The sequence below is a fragment of the Homo sapiens genome, chromosome 11 (assembly GCF_000001405.40).
Source record: "Homo sapiens chromosome 11, GRCh38.p14 Primary Assembly".
NCBI lineage: Eukaryota > Metazoa > Chordata > Mammalia > Primates > Hominidae > Homo > Homo sapiens.
The window spans coordinates 22,698,158-22,715,615 of NC_000011.10; the positions used below are offsets into that span (position 1 = coordinate 22,698,158).

The 17,458-nt window shown below is 36.8% G+C and overlaps 1 protein-coding gene across 19 annotated transcripts in view; it reads left to right on the forward strand.

Annotated features, from left to right (window-relative positions):
• The window catches only part of GAS2 (growth arrest specific 2), a 187,054-nt gene that overhangs the window by 72,156 nt on the left and 97,440 nt on the right, over positions 1-17,458 (forward strand). The gene's annotated exons all lie outside the window — the stretch shown is intronic.

The window sequence follows — 17,458 nt, forward strand, 5'->3', positions numbered from 1 at the left end:
TAGATGCAATAAAAAATGATAAAGGGGATATCACCACCCATCCCACAGAAATACAAACTACCATCAGAGAATACTACAAACACCTCTATGCAAATAAACTAGAAAATCTTGAAGAAATGGATAAATTCCTCAACACAGTCACCCTCCCAAGACTAAACCAGGAAGAAGTTGAATCTCTGAATAGACCAATAACAGGCTCTGAAATTGTGGCAATAATCAATAGCTTACCAACCAAAAAGAGTCCAGGACCAGATGGATTCACAGCCGAATTCTACCAGAGGTACAAGGAGGAACTGGTACCTTTCCTTCTGAAACTATTCCAATCAATAGAAAAAGAGGGAATCCTCCCTAACTCATTTTATGAGGCCAGCATCATCCTGACACCAAAGCCAGGCAGAGACACAACCAAAAAAGAGAATTTTAGACCAATATCCTTGATGAATATTGATGCAAAAATCCTCAATAAAATACTGGCAAACCGAATCCAGCAGCACATCCAAAAGCTTATCCACCATGATCAAGTGGGCTTCATCCCTGGGATGCAAGGCTGGTTCAATATATGCAAATCAATAAATGTAATCCAGCATATAAACAGAACCAAAGATAAAACATTGTTTTAAGAAGAGGTGACCAAACAGTATAAAACAAGAATATTTAAGAAAATGTGAAGTAGCATTCATTCATGCAGTTAATTAATAAGAAATATTATGTTGTTTTTCTGTGCTTTGTGATGGTTCTAGTGTTTACCATCTTTTAAAAGTTATTAATTTCTTGTGCTTTATTTTATTAGGCTAAAATGTTTAATTCCATATCTTATTTTGTGTTTATAATTCTGTTGTTTTCTATAAGGAAAGCACCCAAATAAAATAAGCTCAAGCCCCCACAAAATCTGTTTCTTTTCTAGCCCCTGTGTAAATAGCATAGGCTGCTAGTTTTCTATTCCACAGTTGTGTTCCATTATCGGTCTCAACACCAATTCCAAATATAACATATTTTTCTGAGTCCTGACAACTTAACTCCATACTCTGGTACCAAAGAAATTTTTGGAAAAGATGAATTTATTGAGATAAATGTACAGAATGAAGGGAGAATTCTAAATGAGGGGAGTAATGATCTCAAGTCTTTACTGTACCCCTTCCTTCAAATCTACAAAGGGACCCAAACTCTTTACTATGCATTCAGGGAAGAGAAATGCCTTGTGGGGAATCAGGTGACAGGTAGATTTTTTAAATCTGAAATTATTGGAAAAGATGAATTTACTGCCAAAAGAATGTATTGGAAAGATATGGGGGTACTGCTTAGAGAAAAAAGACATGTGAAGGAAAGTGAAACTGGATTTGGAGGGCTTAAGAATTAGACTATTTGCAAGGATTATGCAGCATAGATACACAGTCATTTCACAGTACCACTGTTAGGGTGAATAATTTCAGACATTTTTAGAGAGGGCAGCTGAACAGAAATGGTTAATAGTGTATACTCAGTAGTCATACTACCTGGGTTGAAATCATAACTCCTCCTCTGTGCGTTAGTTTTCTCATTTGTAAAATGTAGTAATAATTGTAGCTACCTCATTTGGTTATTATGGGGACTAAGTAAGTTAGTATACACAAGCACTGAGTGGTACCTAGTACATATGGGTGCTCATTAACATTTAGCTGTTAACTTTATTGTATCATTCCTCTCAAGATTAACATTTCAGCAAGAAAGAGCCTGATGGACAGCCAACTTTCTGACTAGATCATGGCTTCATACCTTGATTGCTCAGTCTGAATAAAATGAAAGAACCATAGTGTCCCTATGGAAAATTAATATGCTCTTACCTAAGAAGGGAAAAGGATACTGGAAGTGTAGAGATGCCCTTGCAGTCTCTACACTCTGTATCTGTAGATCTGGCCTCTTTCTTACGGTTTGTCCATCTGCATGTTAACCCCTCTTTCTTGTACCATACTGTTGTACTTAGTTGTTTCCTAGTCTTTATCCCTTTGCTAGACTCTAAGATCCTTGAGTACATAGTTTATGTTCTATTCATCTGTGAGTCTAACATAATACCTAGCATATAGATGCTCAGTAGACATGGTGTTGGATGAATGAATAAATAAATGCCCCAAGATGGATATTTACCTTTAGATCCAGAATACTGTTATCCGTGGGTTTTAGCCATCTTTGCTTTTTAATCCTGAAGACTTTATTCTCATTAAGTTTGAAATTCCCCCCTCTGCCTGTTTGCTTAGCTCAAAAGCCTTTGATGTGACAAAGCATGAGGAGCAAATCTGACTTTTCCAGTCGTAAAGACGGAAGATTTGAGAATTTTAGAATGGTCTAGGGAAACAATAAGGATCTGAGGACGTTAAAAGCACTGACAAGAGATTGGCTGAAGTAACAGACCATGGGGATTTAAACTAGTTAAGAAAAAGTGGATCTTGGAGGAGGATAATCATTTAGTTAATTGTAAATGTTATTATATAGTGACATGATGTATTATTTGAGTTCAGAGCATTATATAAAGGTAAAAATTATGATAAAAATGAGCATATTTATATCCAATGGTTCATTCAGTTTGAGGATTTCTTTTCAAGGCCTGATTATACTGCTTGCAGTATAAAATAAGCATCAGATGAGCGATAGCTAATGGTTTCATGAATTTGCTCACCATTGAAAATTAGGAAGAAAAATTAAATTGTAGGGCTTTTAGGTAACAGGTTCTCAAAAGATGTTTTTGACCTGAAACGAAGTGCTGTGTCTTTCGATTACTAGAGGAGACATAAAGATGAAATCATTTTTTTTCTTTTGCATCTTTTTCCCAATAACTGCCTCTTTTGCTCAATAAAATAGTTGGTGAGGGAAATGAGAATATTAGAACCTTTATTTTCTATCAGAGCAGCTAATTGCTGTCTGCCAAAGCACTATTTAACAACCAATGTAAAAATACAATTTCTATAAAACTGCAGGAGAGAATCAGAATTCTAGTACTTAGGAAAACTGCACAGTAAATACTGCTATCGACTTTCTGAAAATGTGTTATTAAACAATAGGTAACTCAAAAGGAGTTAAATATGATCATGGAGTATAGCAAGTTCATTTTATCAATCTTTTATAATATTGAATATTACCAACAACAAATATTTTATAATAATTGAGTCCTACTTATATATGTTACTTTAAAATTGGATAGTTTGAGTATATGTTAGCAACAAGAGATGATGTTATTGGCTGTGGGTGTTAATGTGCATTTGTCTTCATGGTGAGAAAGATAGTTGTGATTTAAAGGGTGTGATTTAAATGAAGATAGAATACTCTCAAGGAGTTTACTCTCTATTAGGAAGAAATGTGTTGTATGTGGTAATATATAGCTTGTGAGATCAAGCTTAAAAAAAAAATAGTTCGGAAAGGGCTGGGCGCGGTGGCTCACGCCTGTAATCCCAGCACTTTGGGAGGCCAAGGCAGGTGGACCACCTGAGTTCAGGAGTTCAAGACCACCCTGGCCAATATAGTGAAACCCCGTCTCTACTAAAAATACAAAAATTAGCCGGGTGTGGTGGCAGGTGCCTGTAGTCCCAGCTACTCTGGACGCTGAGGGAGGAAAATCACTTGAACCTGGAAGGTGGAGGTTGCAGTGAGCCGAGATCACACCACTGCACTCCAGCCTGGACAATGGAGTGAGACTCTGTCTCAAACAAACAAACAAATAAAAGTTGGGGAAAAAAATTAGTTGCAAGAAGTCACAGGTCTTAAGTAAGAAAAAGGCATTATTTTATTATGGGGCTGAAGTTAAAATAGAAGTTAAAAGATATAACAGTATATACTGAAATGTTTTCACACTTTTAAGATTATTTTAAATGTGTCCTATCTTCTTAAATCAAAAATGATACTAATTAATAATAAAAATACCTGCCATATAATATAAATACAGGAGCTACACATGCATTGCAATGTCTAAAGTGCTTATGTATGGACCTATTACAATGCTTTTTAAGTGGGTGTAAACTGATTAGTTTGACCATTCTGACTACCCATACATTATCATTTTCTTTGCTCTTTTTATTATCACAGGTCAAAATCCAAATTATTCTCATTTCCTTGTTTCAGTGAGTCATAGAAGGAATTGTCTCTCACACTTTTGATATATAACTCTTGAGGTGGGTGGCAGAAGAAGCCAGTGTCTAAGATATTGTGCTGAGATTCTTTAGGAATAATACTTAACAGAGGATGAAGTTTGTTGAACTGTCTGTAGATGGAATTGCAAATTGAACAAAATTACTTTATGGCCTTATGTATTTAAAAATCTTTGGACAAGAGTATAGGCCCTAGCAAAATGGAAAATGACCATATGCAAAGCATGGAAAACCTTTGTAAAAAGCACTCATGTTTGAGATAGCTTACTTTTTATGCCCTAATAAGCAAATGGCAAAAGTAAAAATTATTTTAGAATTCCCCTTAAATTATAAGAGGGTAAAATAAAATCTATCATTTTCATGTTTGTCTCCTTTCTTATTTGTTGTAGGCCAGTAGCTGCTAGCCTTCTCATATGAGCAAAAAGCCATTTCCCCAATCTTAATGTTCTCTACATATTGGGGTATGCTCCTAATAAGGACTTTGTGCTGAGATGTGGGGAAGAGTATGTCTAGCCCTATTCTGTACTCTGCTGAGAATCTACATATTTCAGAGCAAGGAGAAGAGATAGGGAAAGACCAGGTGGCAGATTCTAACCTAGAAATTTGTCTAGATTCCAGAGGCTACTACATTTATTTGAATCTGCTTATAAAGAGCCCCTTCAAAATTGTTCTTTTTGTCTGTGAGCTCAAACCATAATATATTGTTTGGTAGTGTAAATAACAGTTGCATTAAAGGCATATGAAACATGTGACTGAAAATAAATATGTTAAATTGAAACTCCAAAAAGTATAAAAAGAAGAAGAGCAAATTCTGGATAGAAAAAGGGAGGTTCACACACACATGCACACATACACATTTTTCATCTACGTGATTTCCTAGCACCAGCGCAGTGTTGTCCCTTGAGCATGAAAGTAAACCTGACTGAATTTTTCCATGATGACATCATCCCTTCTACTTACAGTCTCACATCCTGCATTTAACAACATGCAGGCACATCAGCAAGACAAGATTGTAAAAGGAGTCTAACTGGGGAACTGTTTTCATGATATTTGATAGCACTAATTGCGGTCAATGCTTTCAAAGCACTGTGGATGTAGAATATTTTGTCAGAAAAAGTCACTCTCACCCTATGGAAAATGGAGAATTAATTATTTTAAAATGAGCTGTTACTAAATGTGTTGGAGAAACTCAAGTCGTTGGAACAAATCAATAATGAATATGTATGCTATTTCTTAAAGGGAAACATTCATAGATTTTATATTAAGAACCTTTTCTAAAAGGCTGAAATTTGGGGGAAAGAGTTGCTTTTTCATTTAAAAATGTCTGAGAATTGCTAGGTAATTTAAAATGTAAGCACTCACCATATTTATGTGTGTGTGGTCCAAGGTATGTGGTACTGGTACATTACAGAGTAATGGAATAATGCTTTTTAGATGAGGTAACTGAGTTTACAATATATAGAGCTCTTCAACTGTATCTTAAGCTCTTAGGGGCTGACGACATGAATGGCTTCTATTGTTTGACTTAGCAGTTTGAAAACACATTACATATCATGCATGAAGCCTGAAGCCTTCTAGTATGTGTTTTGTGTTTATATTACTGTGCTAGTCATGTCTAATTTCACACCAGTGTAGGCTGCTTGTCTAACAGATGCCTCGCTAGCATTGCTGTTTCATATAAGAAATAAAAAATGTGGTAATTTGCATATCTTGAAGCCAAAAGAAGCAAACAAAAATCCCAGCTCAATCAAAAATTGTTAAAAAAGAATTAAATCTTGGAAGTGACAAGGAAGAAAAGAACCCTACAATGAAGGTGAAACAACTCAATAAATTCAGAAAGTCTTTTGAGACTCTGTTTTGTAGGTGTTATGGAGGATGTGAAGCAAATAAGTCATGGATTCTTTCTTCTAGATCAGGATCACTTAAGTGCTTTTGTGCCATGTTCTTTTAGGCACTTGGGTGAAGCCTGTGGATCATTTCTCCTCATGCTATTTTTAAATAAATGAAATAAATACAAAATAAAGGGAACCAATTTTATTAAAATACAGTTATTTCAATATTAAAAATCAACATTGAAACACAAATTTAAAATAATGTGCTTGTATTTTAAAAAGGTTAATCTGGCATTGCTTCTAATAAATCCTATAGTTATAAAGTAGAGAAGAGAGTAAACCCAGTGTTTCCAGATACCAGGATCGATTGTAATATGAAATAAAAGCTTCTACAATTTTTACCAATGAGAAAGCTACTGTGGTATTTTTGTCTACATTTATAATTGAAGGGATATTAAACTTCAATTAGAAGCCAGTGAAAATAAACATATATATATATATATATATATATATATATATATATTTTGCTCATCTCAAATTCATGATTCTCCCAGAAAAGAACCCTTTCTTGTAGTAAGGAATATTGTAGATTGTAGTAAGGAATATTCTAATAAACAAACAAAACTCAGAATAAATGGATTTTTACAGAATAAACAAAATGCAGTGGGCAGATTAACACAGGAGAGATTAATCTTTACTTATCTAATGAATGTGTATGCAAATATATATGTGTAGAACTAAACCATATGTTGTTCTATGTTGTTATATTTGCTACATTTAAAATTGTTCAAAGATTGAAAAGTAGATACATGATCCTTTATTTCCACAGACTTAATTAATGCCATGTGATATGATAATAAAGCAAACATTTACTAAGTATTTACTTCGTGTCATTCAGAGTAAGCTTTTTACATGTATTAAATCATCAAATAATTTAAAACTCAAAGTAGATTATGCCACTTCTTAGCTCAAATTTTTTCAAATGGCACCTCAACTTTCTTGGAGAAAAAGCCAAAATCTATATGACAGCCTACAAGGCTCTATATGCACTGTTCCTTGGTGACCTTTCTGATCTCATTTATTGTAACTTTTCCCTTACCCGACTTTGTTGCAGCCACACTGGACTCCTTGCAATTCTTTGAACCTGACGAGTAGGTCCCATCCACCACAGGGCCTTCACAATTGTTCTTCTAGCTTCTTAGAGTATTATTTTCCCAGGGGTGTGTATGATTTGCTTCTCACTCTCTTCATGTCCCTGCTCAAATGTCATGTTTTATCTGAGGCCTTCCCTGACCAACCTATATAAAGTGCCTTTCAAGAATGCTTTTCCAGACTTTTCAACTGCTAAACATTTATTGAATGCTAACTGTGTACAAGATCTGATAAATAAAAGAAGACTAAAGCATTATTGGGTCCTCCCCAAGAACTTGCAGTCTAGTTAGGTACATAAAATATGAACATATAATAATATAGATATCAATGGAAGTGCTAAATAAGTGATACCCACCAGTGGTTCTCAACTTTCGTTTAACCATAACATACATTACAATGAAAACATTCAATTGATTATTCAACACATGTATACTGAACACCTAACATATACAGGGCAAAATATTGGATGCTCACATGCTTCATGCCTTTGTGGATTAGCAAGGGATAATAACATTAAGCTGGTAATTAAAAAGTATGCAAACAGTGAATTTCAACTGCTGTGTATAAATACAAGAAAGTGTACATACATGACCTCCTTTAAGAGGAGGACCTAAATTAGTCATGTACAAAGGATATTTTAGATTATTCTGAAGCAGAATGGGAATAAGCAAGGCAGAGAGGGAATATAGAGTGTGCCAAATACAGTAAATTGCACACGTGAAAGCCCTCAGATGTAAAGGTGCATGATGACTTTGAGGAAGTAAAGGAAAGCAAGTATGTCTGGAGACTAGCACATAACTCAAGAGAATCAAGAGATGAGACCAAAGCTAAGTCTTGTTGGATGCTGGCATTTATCTTAAGTATAACAATATGCCATTGAACTATTAACATTTTAAACAGAAGCATGATAGACTCCTTTAAAATGACAACATTAGCAGTGTAGAGAATGGATTGGAAAGGAGAAGTGAAGGTGGAAATAACCACCCAAGTCAGGAGGCTATTGCCTAGCTCAGGTGACAGATAATGACCACTTATCCTAGGGTAGTGGCAGTGGAATGGGAAAGAAGTAGACGGTTTTTTTTTTTCTTTTATTATTATACTTTAAGTTTTAGGGTACATGTGCACATTGTGCAGGTTAGTTACATATGTATACATGTGCCACGCTGGTGCACTGCACCCACTAACTCGTCATCTAGCATTAGGTATATCTCCCAATGCTATCCCTCCCCGCTCCCCCCACCCCACAACAGTCCCCGGAGTGTGATGTTCCCCTTCCTGTGTCCATGTGATCTCATTGTTCAATTCCCACCTATGAGTGAGAATATGCGGTGTTTGGTTTTTTGTCCTTGCGATAGTTTACTGAGAATGATGGTTTCCAATTTCATCCATGTCCCTACAAAGGACATGAACTCATCATTTTTTATGGCTGCATAGTATTCCATGGTGCATATGTGCCACATTTTCTTAATCCAGTCTATCACTGTTGGACATTTGGGTTGGTTCCAAGTCTTTGCTATTGTGAATAGTGCTGCAATAAACATATGTGTGCATGTGTCTTTATAGCAGCATGATTTATAATCCTTTGGGTATATACCCAGTAATAGGATGGCTGGGTCAAATGGTATTTCTAGTTCTAGATCCCTGAGGAATCGCCACACTGACTTCCACAATGGTTGAACTAGTTTACAGTCCCACCAACAGTGTAAAAGTGTTCCTATTTCTCCACATTCTCTCCAGCACCTGTTGTTTCCTGACTTTTTAATGATTGCCATTCTAACTGGTGTGAGATGGTATCTCATTGTGGTTTTGATTTGCATTTCTCTGATGGTTTTGAGATATATTGAGACCAGGTGGACTTGGCAGAGCTTGGTGATAAATTGTATAGAATGGGTAAGGGAGATTGGTCTGGAGTTTCCTACTTGAGGACACAGATGGATAGTAGTGCTTTGTTTTGCAAGTGGAAAGGCCACGGAAGAGTAGGATTGGGGAAACATCATTGTTTCTTACACACATGTGCATTGTACCTTCATGAGTACCTGAGGGTTATGAGCCTTGTTGGCTCCCTGTCATGCCACACCTTTCATTTCTGCTCAAGGAAACATAAACAAATGAGTAAGGAAGTGCTTTAGAGATAACCTTGAATTTTCTTTGACCTAGTCCTTAAAAAATATTTCAGTTGTAAGCTGTTAAGATCCATACTTTTAAAAGTCACAAATGTTTATAGACTTGACTCTCAGCTGATCTAGACATACCATTGTTTAGACAGACCTCTGCTGATATACTTAGTAGGTTCTTGTAAGGGTTCAGGAAACAGTTTGTCTAAGTGCTCGGGGAAGTTTGCATGTCAGCAGTGGAATTTAAATTGTCCAAACATGGTGCAAAAAAATGTACAGAGAAATTGGTGGCAAATGCAATATAAATATGTGGTGAGTGAACCAAATATTAATGCTGGAAAAATGCAAGCATGTACCAGGAATAGTGAATAGAAAAACATGGTTGATGTGGATCATATATGGAGAGAACGTTTGGCACATGGACTGGTGAAGCTCACATCTCATAACCACAAGACTTAAGTATTTGAACTTTGTTTTGTAAACATTGAGCTGGAGAATGAGAACATTAAATTTAGGAAGATTAATCTGAGGTTGATGTGTATGCATATTAAGTTGGAGAAATTTGAGACAGGAAACAGGAAGATCGTTGGGTAAAGTTTCTACATTTGTTTAGATCTGAGATGTTAAAGGGTCTGAGGTGAGTGTGTCAATATTTTATTAAAAGGTTCAGGGTAATTGAAGAGATATTCATTGGAAAACAACAATGAGCTAGATTGATGATTTACTGGGCACAAAAAGAAGGGATGAAGGAAGAATCAAAGCTACCATAATTTTTACAATTTGAGACAATATGATGATTAGGGGACAGAACAAAAGAAGGAAATTCTGTTTTTGTGGGAGACATATAATGACTTGATAGATGTACTGAATAGCAAGATATGTAGGTGGATATTATGGATATTTTTGAGATTGTGTTTATGTTTTTTAGTGATTATTAAAATCCCCAAATTTTCATTGGCACCCCGGACTAAATTTTATTTAAATTAGTTTAAATGTCCTTTTCTTCAGTTTTCTAACAAACATGCACTTAAATTTTACCATATGCCAGTCATTATTTCAAGAACTTCTGTTTAATCTTATATAACCCTCATAGCAACGTCATGATGTAGTTGCTATTATTATGCCATTTCACAGATGAAGTTAATATGCCTCATGTCAACACAACTAGTAACTAAAAATCCAGCATTCAAACTCAGGCAGTCTGGTTCCAAATGTACTTATGACCACTCCATTCTGCTGCCCGTGACTATATATGGAATATATGCCTCGGCTACAATCATATTTGTATTTATTCAATAAATGTTTCATAAGTAATATTTGATAGGTATTACACTAGGTGCTAGGAATAAGGTGGTGAACAAAACCAGTCACTGTTCCATTCCTCATAAAGCCTACAGCCTAAAAGGAAAGATAGTTGTTAATCAGTTAATCATATGAAGGAACTTGATAGCAGGAGCACTTAAACAGTGTGGATTTTACCCAGGTAAACTGAAGTGTAAGGGGTGGGACTTGCAATTATTTGGGCAAAGAAATATGGGAAGAGCAGAGAGGACACTTAATGTGCAAGAAGCCTGTGGTGGGAGGCAGGATGGAGAACATGCAGGCATTGGAACAAATGCTAGCATGGCTACAGGAGACAGAGGGCCCATGGTAGTAGAGTAGACAGTGTGCAGGCTAATACAAACCATGGAAGCCACATCATAGGGAGCTTTCTTTATCCTAAAAGCACTGGGAAGTCATTGAAGATTTTTAAGCAGAGAAAAACTCAATCAAATTTTCCATTTGAAAACCCTAATTTGATTAGACTGTAGAACTCAGAGGTGAATGCACAGCATGGTAATGAAAAAAAAAAACCACAGAAGACATTGTAATTAAATCACCATAGAAAGGTAAAGCATTTGTCTTAAATGTTTATTTTTTCCTGTGTATATGTTGGCTTACTACAGTAATTACAGATGTGGTGATACAACTAATAGTCAACTCTCCTCAGGGCATTCTTTGTAAATGTAATTGAAAGTAGACATGTATTTGAAAAAAAATTAAATTAATTGAAGATAAGCTATTATCTAGGATTGGTATTAGGTGCTTTCTAGGACATCTTATTTAATTCTCAAAACATGTTACAAATGTTAGGCCTTCAGTTCGAAAGGTTAATTAGATTAAATTACTGTTCTTGGTCATTATTAGTGCAGTGAAGTTAGCAGCAAAGTTCAACCATTGTGGAAGTCAGTGTGGCGATTCCTCAGGGATCTAGAACTAGAAATACCATTTGACCCAGCCATCCCATTACTGGGTATATACCCAAAGGACTATAAATCATGCTGCTATAAAGACACATGCACACGTATGTTTATCGTGGCACTATTCACAATAGCAAAGACTTGGAACCAATCCAAATGTCCAACAACGATAGACTGGATTAAGAAAATGTGGCACATATACACCATGGAATACTATGCAGCGGTAAAAAATGATGAGTTCATGTCCTTTGTAGGGACATGGATGAAATTGGAAATCATCATTCTCAGTAAACTATTGCAAGGACAAAAAAACCAAACACCGCATGTTCTCACTCACACGTGGGAATTGAACAATGAGAACACATAGACACAGGAAGGGGAACATCGCACTCTGGGGACTGTTGTGGGGTAGGGGGAGGGGGGAGGGATAGCATTAGGAGATATACCTAATGCTAAATGATGAGTTAATGGGTGCAGCACACCAGCATGGCACATGTATACATATGTAACTAACATGCACATTGTGCACATGTACCCTAAAACTTAAAGTATAATAATAATTTAAAAAAGGAAAAAACAAACAAACAAACAAACAAAAACAACTTTTTTTCCCCTAAAATTGTTTAGTAATCTGTGAGCCACTAAAATAAATTCCTTTCTTGGAATCCATCTATTAAAAAATCTTTGAACTTTTGAAAATACTTATCTCATACATAATTTACAGATGAGTACCCCAAAATAGTTTTGACTAAAATATTAAAGCCAGAGACTCTGAATTCACAATTTGCTGCCAACAATGATAAATTATGATGTCATGGAACATGCAGAATATTTGTTGGAAATGAAAAATTCAAGATATATATATATGTGTGTAGATATATGTGTGTGTGTGTGTCTGTGTGTGTCTGTGTGTATATATATATATATGTTTCTTACTCCTAAGGAAGTTCCTCAACTGTGGAAGAGACAGAAAAACTGATGCACATTCTCGAAAATATAACTATCATCAATTTGATTATCTATAATTAATAATAATTTCTATTAATTTTTTGGAGAATCTGAGGGTTGTCACACCTGCTATCTCAAGCTCCTTCCTCTTTCTGAGAAGTCTTGCATATTCCATTTTGTATGTCACTTTTTCTGTCTTATCACTCAGCTGTGACTTAAGGGTTTCCAAGATGGAAGTGTCAGGAGAAAAAGAAATCACTGTTTTTCCTTCTGCAGAAGTATCATTAATTTTTTTTCCTTTAGTCCATCCTTGACAGCAATGTCATAATTATTTTTCCCAAAGTCTATGTTAATTCTTAGTTTAAAATGTTAAAATCTACAATTCAAGTAGGAAAAGTGGCAGATAAGAGACAGGACTAACAAGCAGCTCCCACTTAGATGGACAGAACAGTGTCTGGAGACTCACATTGTGAACTTTTGCTCCAAGAACATCACAGGAACAAATCAGGAAAACAGAAATAATTCACAGACCCTTTGAAACAAGCAGCTTGCTTCTGCAAATGCCATTAGACAGCTGAAAAAACTATGAGTTCCCAAAGTGTGAGGGGGGAAAAGTCACCCTCTAAACACATATCCCCACTGTGAACTGAAAAATCCTGATCATGGGAGAAGGATTTAACTTTACTTAGAGCCAAAACAGATTTAGGAAGCCAAATGAAAGATACAAGTAGAAGCAGCAGCCAGAAGAGTCCCATAGGCACTTCCAGTCTTCAAGTGAAGTCCAGGGAAGCCATTTCTGGCCTTATCTCACAGAGGTCCTTGGGGAAAGGAAAGCAGCTGGTGGAATTTGGGAGGTGCACAGGGTGAGGTAAGCTCCTAGGTGAACTTTGTAATAATTTCGACTGAGCACAAACTTTCCTGAGCAGAATCAGGGGGAGACGGGGAAAACAGGTAGTGCAGATACAAGTGCAGAAGCCACAGATGGTGTGGGTAGGCAGGCCCAGGCCTGAGAGCCCTGCTTGCTTTCTCAATTGGGACGCTTATAGCCTGGGGCAAGATTTCAGCCATGCTCACAAGCTGCCTGGATATAAACTCAGTGCAGTTCTGGAAGCATGGTGGGAGTGAGATTGGCCTTGCTGGCTATGTGGCATCTGGGTGAGCCCTGTCACTGCCAGCTTTCCCCCACTTCCCTGGTGACCTGTACAATGCAGCAGAGGCAGCCATAATCTCCCTGGGAACATAACTTCATTGGCCTGAAAGCCACCCCAAAAACCCCCACAGTGGCTGCAGCAAGCCCTGCCCAAGGAGAGTCTCAGCTCAAACCCACCTAACCCTGCCCCTACCTGATGGTTTTTCTTTGCCCACCTTGGTAACCAAAGACAAAAGACATAATCTCTTGGGAGCTGTGTGACCCTGTCCATCACCTGAGAAACCTAAGCACTCATCTGGCCAGTGTAGGGCAAAATTATATCCCTCTTCTACTGCTATCCTCCTTTCACTCTCTTTAAAGCACCACCTCCTGGCTGGAGGCCAACCAACTCAAGTCATTACAGCAACTCATAACAGAACAACCCTGCTTCGAAGAAGGAAAAAACAACAGCTAATTCTACCACCTGACACACCCTGGCTAGCCAGAGGTCCTGAATCTGTCCACATGACAACTTCACTGCTAGCATAACCAACATTCAAGAAAACCAGTGCACTAAACAAAACTACAACCAAGGACTCCCACAGAGTCCACTTTACTCCCCTGCCATCTCCGCCAGAGCAGGTTCCGGCATCCACAGCTGGGAGACCTGAAGATAGACTGCATCACAGGACACTTTGCAGACATTCCTTAGCACCAGCCTAGAGCCCAGTTGCCCCACTGGGTGGCTAGATCCAGAAGGGTAATAACAGTCACAGGAGTCTGGCTCTCAGGAAGCCCTATTCCTAGAAGAAAGGGGAGAGCACCACATCAAAGGATTACCCTGTGGGACAAAACAATCTGAACAGCAGCGCTTGAGTTCCAGATATTTCCAATGAAACATTCTACCTAAATGAGAAGAAACTAGAAAAGTAATTCTGGTAATATGACAAAACAACATTCTATGACACCCACAAAAGATCATACTAGCTGTCCAGCAATGGTCTAAACCAAGAAATTTCTGAAATGCCAGAAAAAGAATTCAGAAAGTTGATTATTAAGCTTCTCAAGGTGGCACCAGAGAAGGATGAAAACTAACTTAAATAAATTAAAGGCCGGGGGCAGTGGCTCATGCCTGTAATTCCAGCACTTTAGGAGGCCAAGGCAGGTGGATCACTTGAAGTCAGGAGTTCAAGACCAGACTGGCCAACATGATGAAAACCCATATCTACTAAAAATACAAAAAAGTAGCCAGGCATGGTGGCTCAAACCTGTGGTCCCAGCTACTTGGGAGGCTGAGGCATAAGAATTGCTTGAACCCCGGAGACAGAGCCAAGATTGTGCCACTGCATGCCAGCCTGATCAGCAGGGTGAGACTGTGTCAAAAAAAAAAAAAAAAGAAAAGAAAAGAAAGGAAAAAAGAAATACAAAAAACATATAGGATACAGATGAAAAAGTCTCCAGGGAAATAGATATAATAAAGGACAATCACAACTTCTGGAAATGAGTGTCACACTTAGAGAAATGCAAAATACACTGGAAAGTTTCAACAATAGAATCAAACAAGTAGAAGAAAAAATTCAGAGCTCAAAGAAGACTTCTGAATTAACCCTATATAATGAAGACAAATAAAAATAATTTAAAAAATGAGCAAAGAATCCAAGAAATTTGGGATTATGTTAAATGACCAAACATAAGAATAATTGGTGTTCCCAAGGATGAAGAGAAATCTAAAAGTTTGGAAAATTTATTTGAGGGAATCAATGAAAACTTCCCTGGTCTTGCTAGAGATCTAGATATCCAAATACAAGAAGCTCTAAAGAATACCTGGTAAACTAATCACGAACACATCATCACCTAGGAACTTACATAGTCATCAAGTTATCTAAAGTCAAGATGAAGGAAAGAATCTTAAGAGATGAGAGGCAAAAGCATCAGGTAGCCTGTAAAATAAAACCTATCAGATTAACAGGAGATTTCTCAGCAGAAACCCTGTAAACCAGAAGGGATTGGGGTCCTATCTATAGCCTCCTTAAAATAATTATCAGCAAAGAATCTTGTACACAGCAAACTAAGCTTCATACATGAGAGATAAAGTCTTTTTCAGACAAATAAATGCTAAGAGAATTATTCACCACTACCAAGCCAGCATATAAGAAATGCTAAAAGGAGTCCTAAATCTTGAAACAAAACCTTGAAATACACAAAAATAGAATGTCCTTGAAGCATAAATCTCTCAGGACCAATAACACAATGAGAAAACAATGAGAAACAATAACACAATGAGAAAAAAAACAGGGTATTCAGGTAACAACTAGCATGATGAATAGAACACTACTATGTCACATCTGAATACTAACATTGAATGTAAATGGCTACACTTAAAAGGTACAGAATCTCAGAATGGATCAAAATCCCAAAACCAAGTGTCTGCCATCTTCAAGAGACTCATCTAACAAATAAGTACTCACCTAAACTTAAGGTAAAAGAGTAGAAAAAGATATTCCATGCAAATGGAAACCAAAAGTGAGCAGGGGTAGCTATTCTTATATCAGACAAAACAGACTTTAAAGGAAAAACAGTTAAAAAAGATAAAGAGGGACATTATATAATGTTAGAAGGATTAGTCCAACAGGAAAATATCACAATTCTAAATACATATGCACCTAACATGGGAGCTCCCAAATTTATAAAACAATTACCGCTACACATAGGAAATGAGATAGGTGACAGCATAGTAATAGTGAGGAAACCCAATACTCCACTGACAGCACTAGATAGATCATCAAGACAGAAAGTCAACAAAGAAACAGTGGACTTAAACTATACCCTAGAACAAATGGACTTCACAGATATTTACAGAATATTCTATCCAACAACTGCAGAATAAAGATTCTTTTCTTCAACACCTGGAACATTCTCTAAGATAGGCTACAAAACAAGTCTCAATAAATTTAAGAAAAATTGAAATTATATCAAGTACTCTCTCAGCCCACAGTGGAATAAAATTGGAAAATAACTCCAAATAGAACCCTTAAAGCTATACAAATACATGGAAATTAAATAATCTGCTTCTGAATGATACTTGGGTCCACAATGAAATCAAGATGAAAATTAAATTCTTTGAACTGAATGATAATAATGATGCAACCAATTAAAACCTCTAGGATTCAGCAAAAGCAGTGCTAAGAGGAAAGTTCATAGCATTAAATGCCTACATCAAAAAGTCTGAAAGAACACAAATAGACAATCTATGCTCACACCTCAAGGAACTAGAGAAACAAGAATAAACCAAACTCAAACCCAGGAGAACAAAAGAAATGACAAAGATCAGAGCAGAACTAAATGAAATTGAAACAATGACAAAAAATACAAAATATAAATGAAACAAAAAGCTTGTTCTTTGAAAGGATAAACAAAATTGATAGACTGTTAATGAGATTAACCAAGAAAAGAAGAGATACGTTCCAAATAAGCTTAATTAGAAACAGGCCAGGTGCCACAGGTGTGGTGGCTTACACCTGTAATCCAGCACTTTGGGAGGCCAAGGCAGGCGGATCACCAGGTGAGGAGTTCAAGACCACCATGAACAACATTTTGAAACCCTGTCTCTACTAAAAAATACAAAAATTAGCCAAGTGTGGTGGCACGTGCCTGTAGTCCCAGCTACTCAGAAGGCCGAGGCAGGAGAATCACTTGAACCCGGGAGGCGGAGGTTGCAGTGAGCTGAGATCACGCCATTGCACTCCAGTCTGGGTGACAGAGCAAGACTCTGTCTCAAAAAAAAAAAAAAAAAAAAAAAGAAAAGAAAAGAAAAGAAACAAAACAAGAGATATTACATTCGATAACACAGAAATACGAAAGACCATTTAAGGCTACTATGAACAAGTTTATGCACACAAACTAGAAAACCTACAGGAGACGGATAAATTCC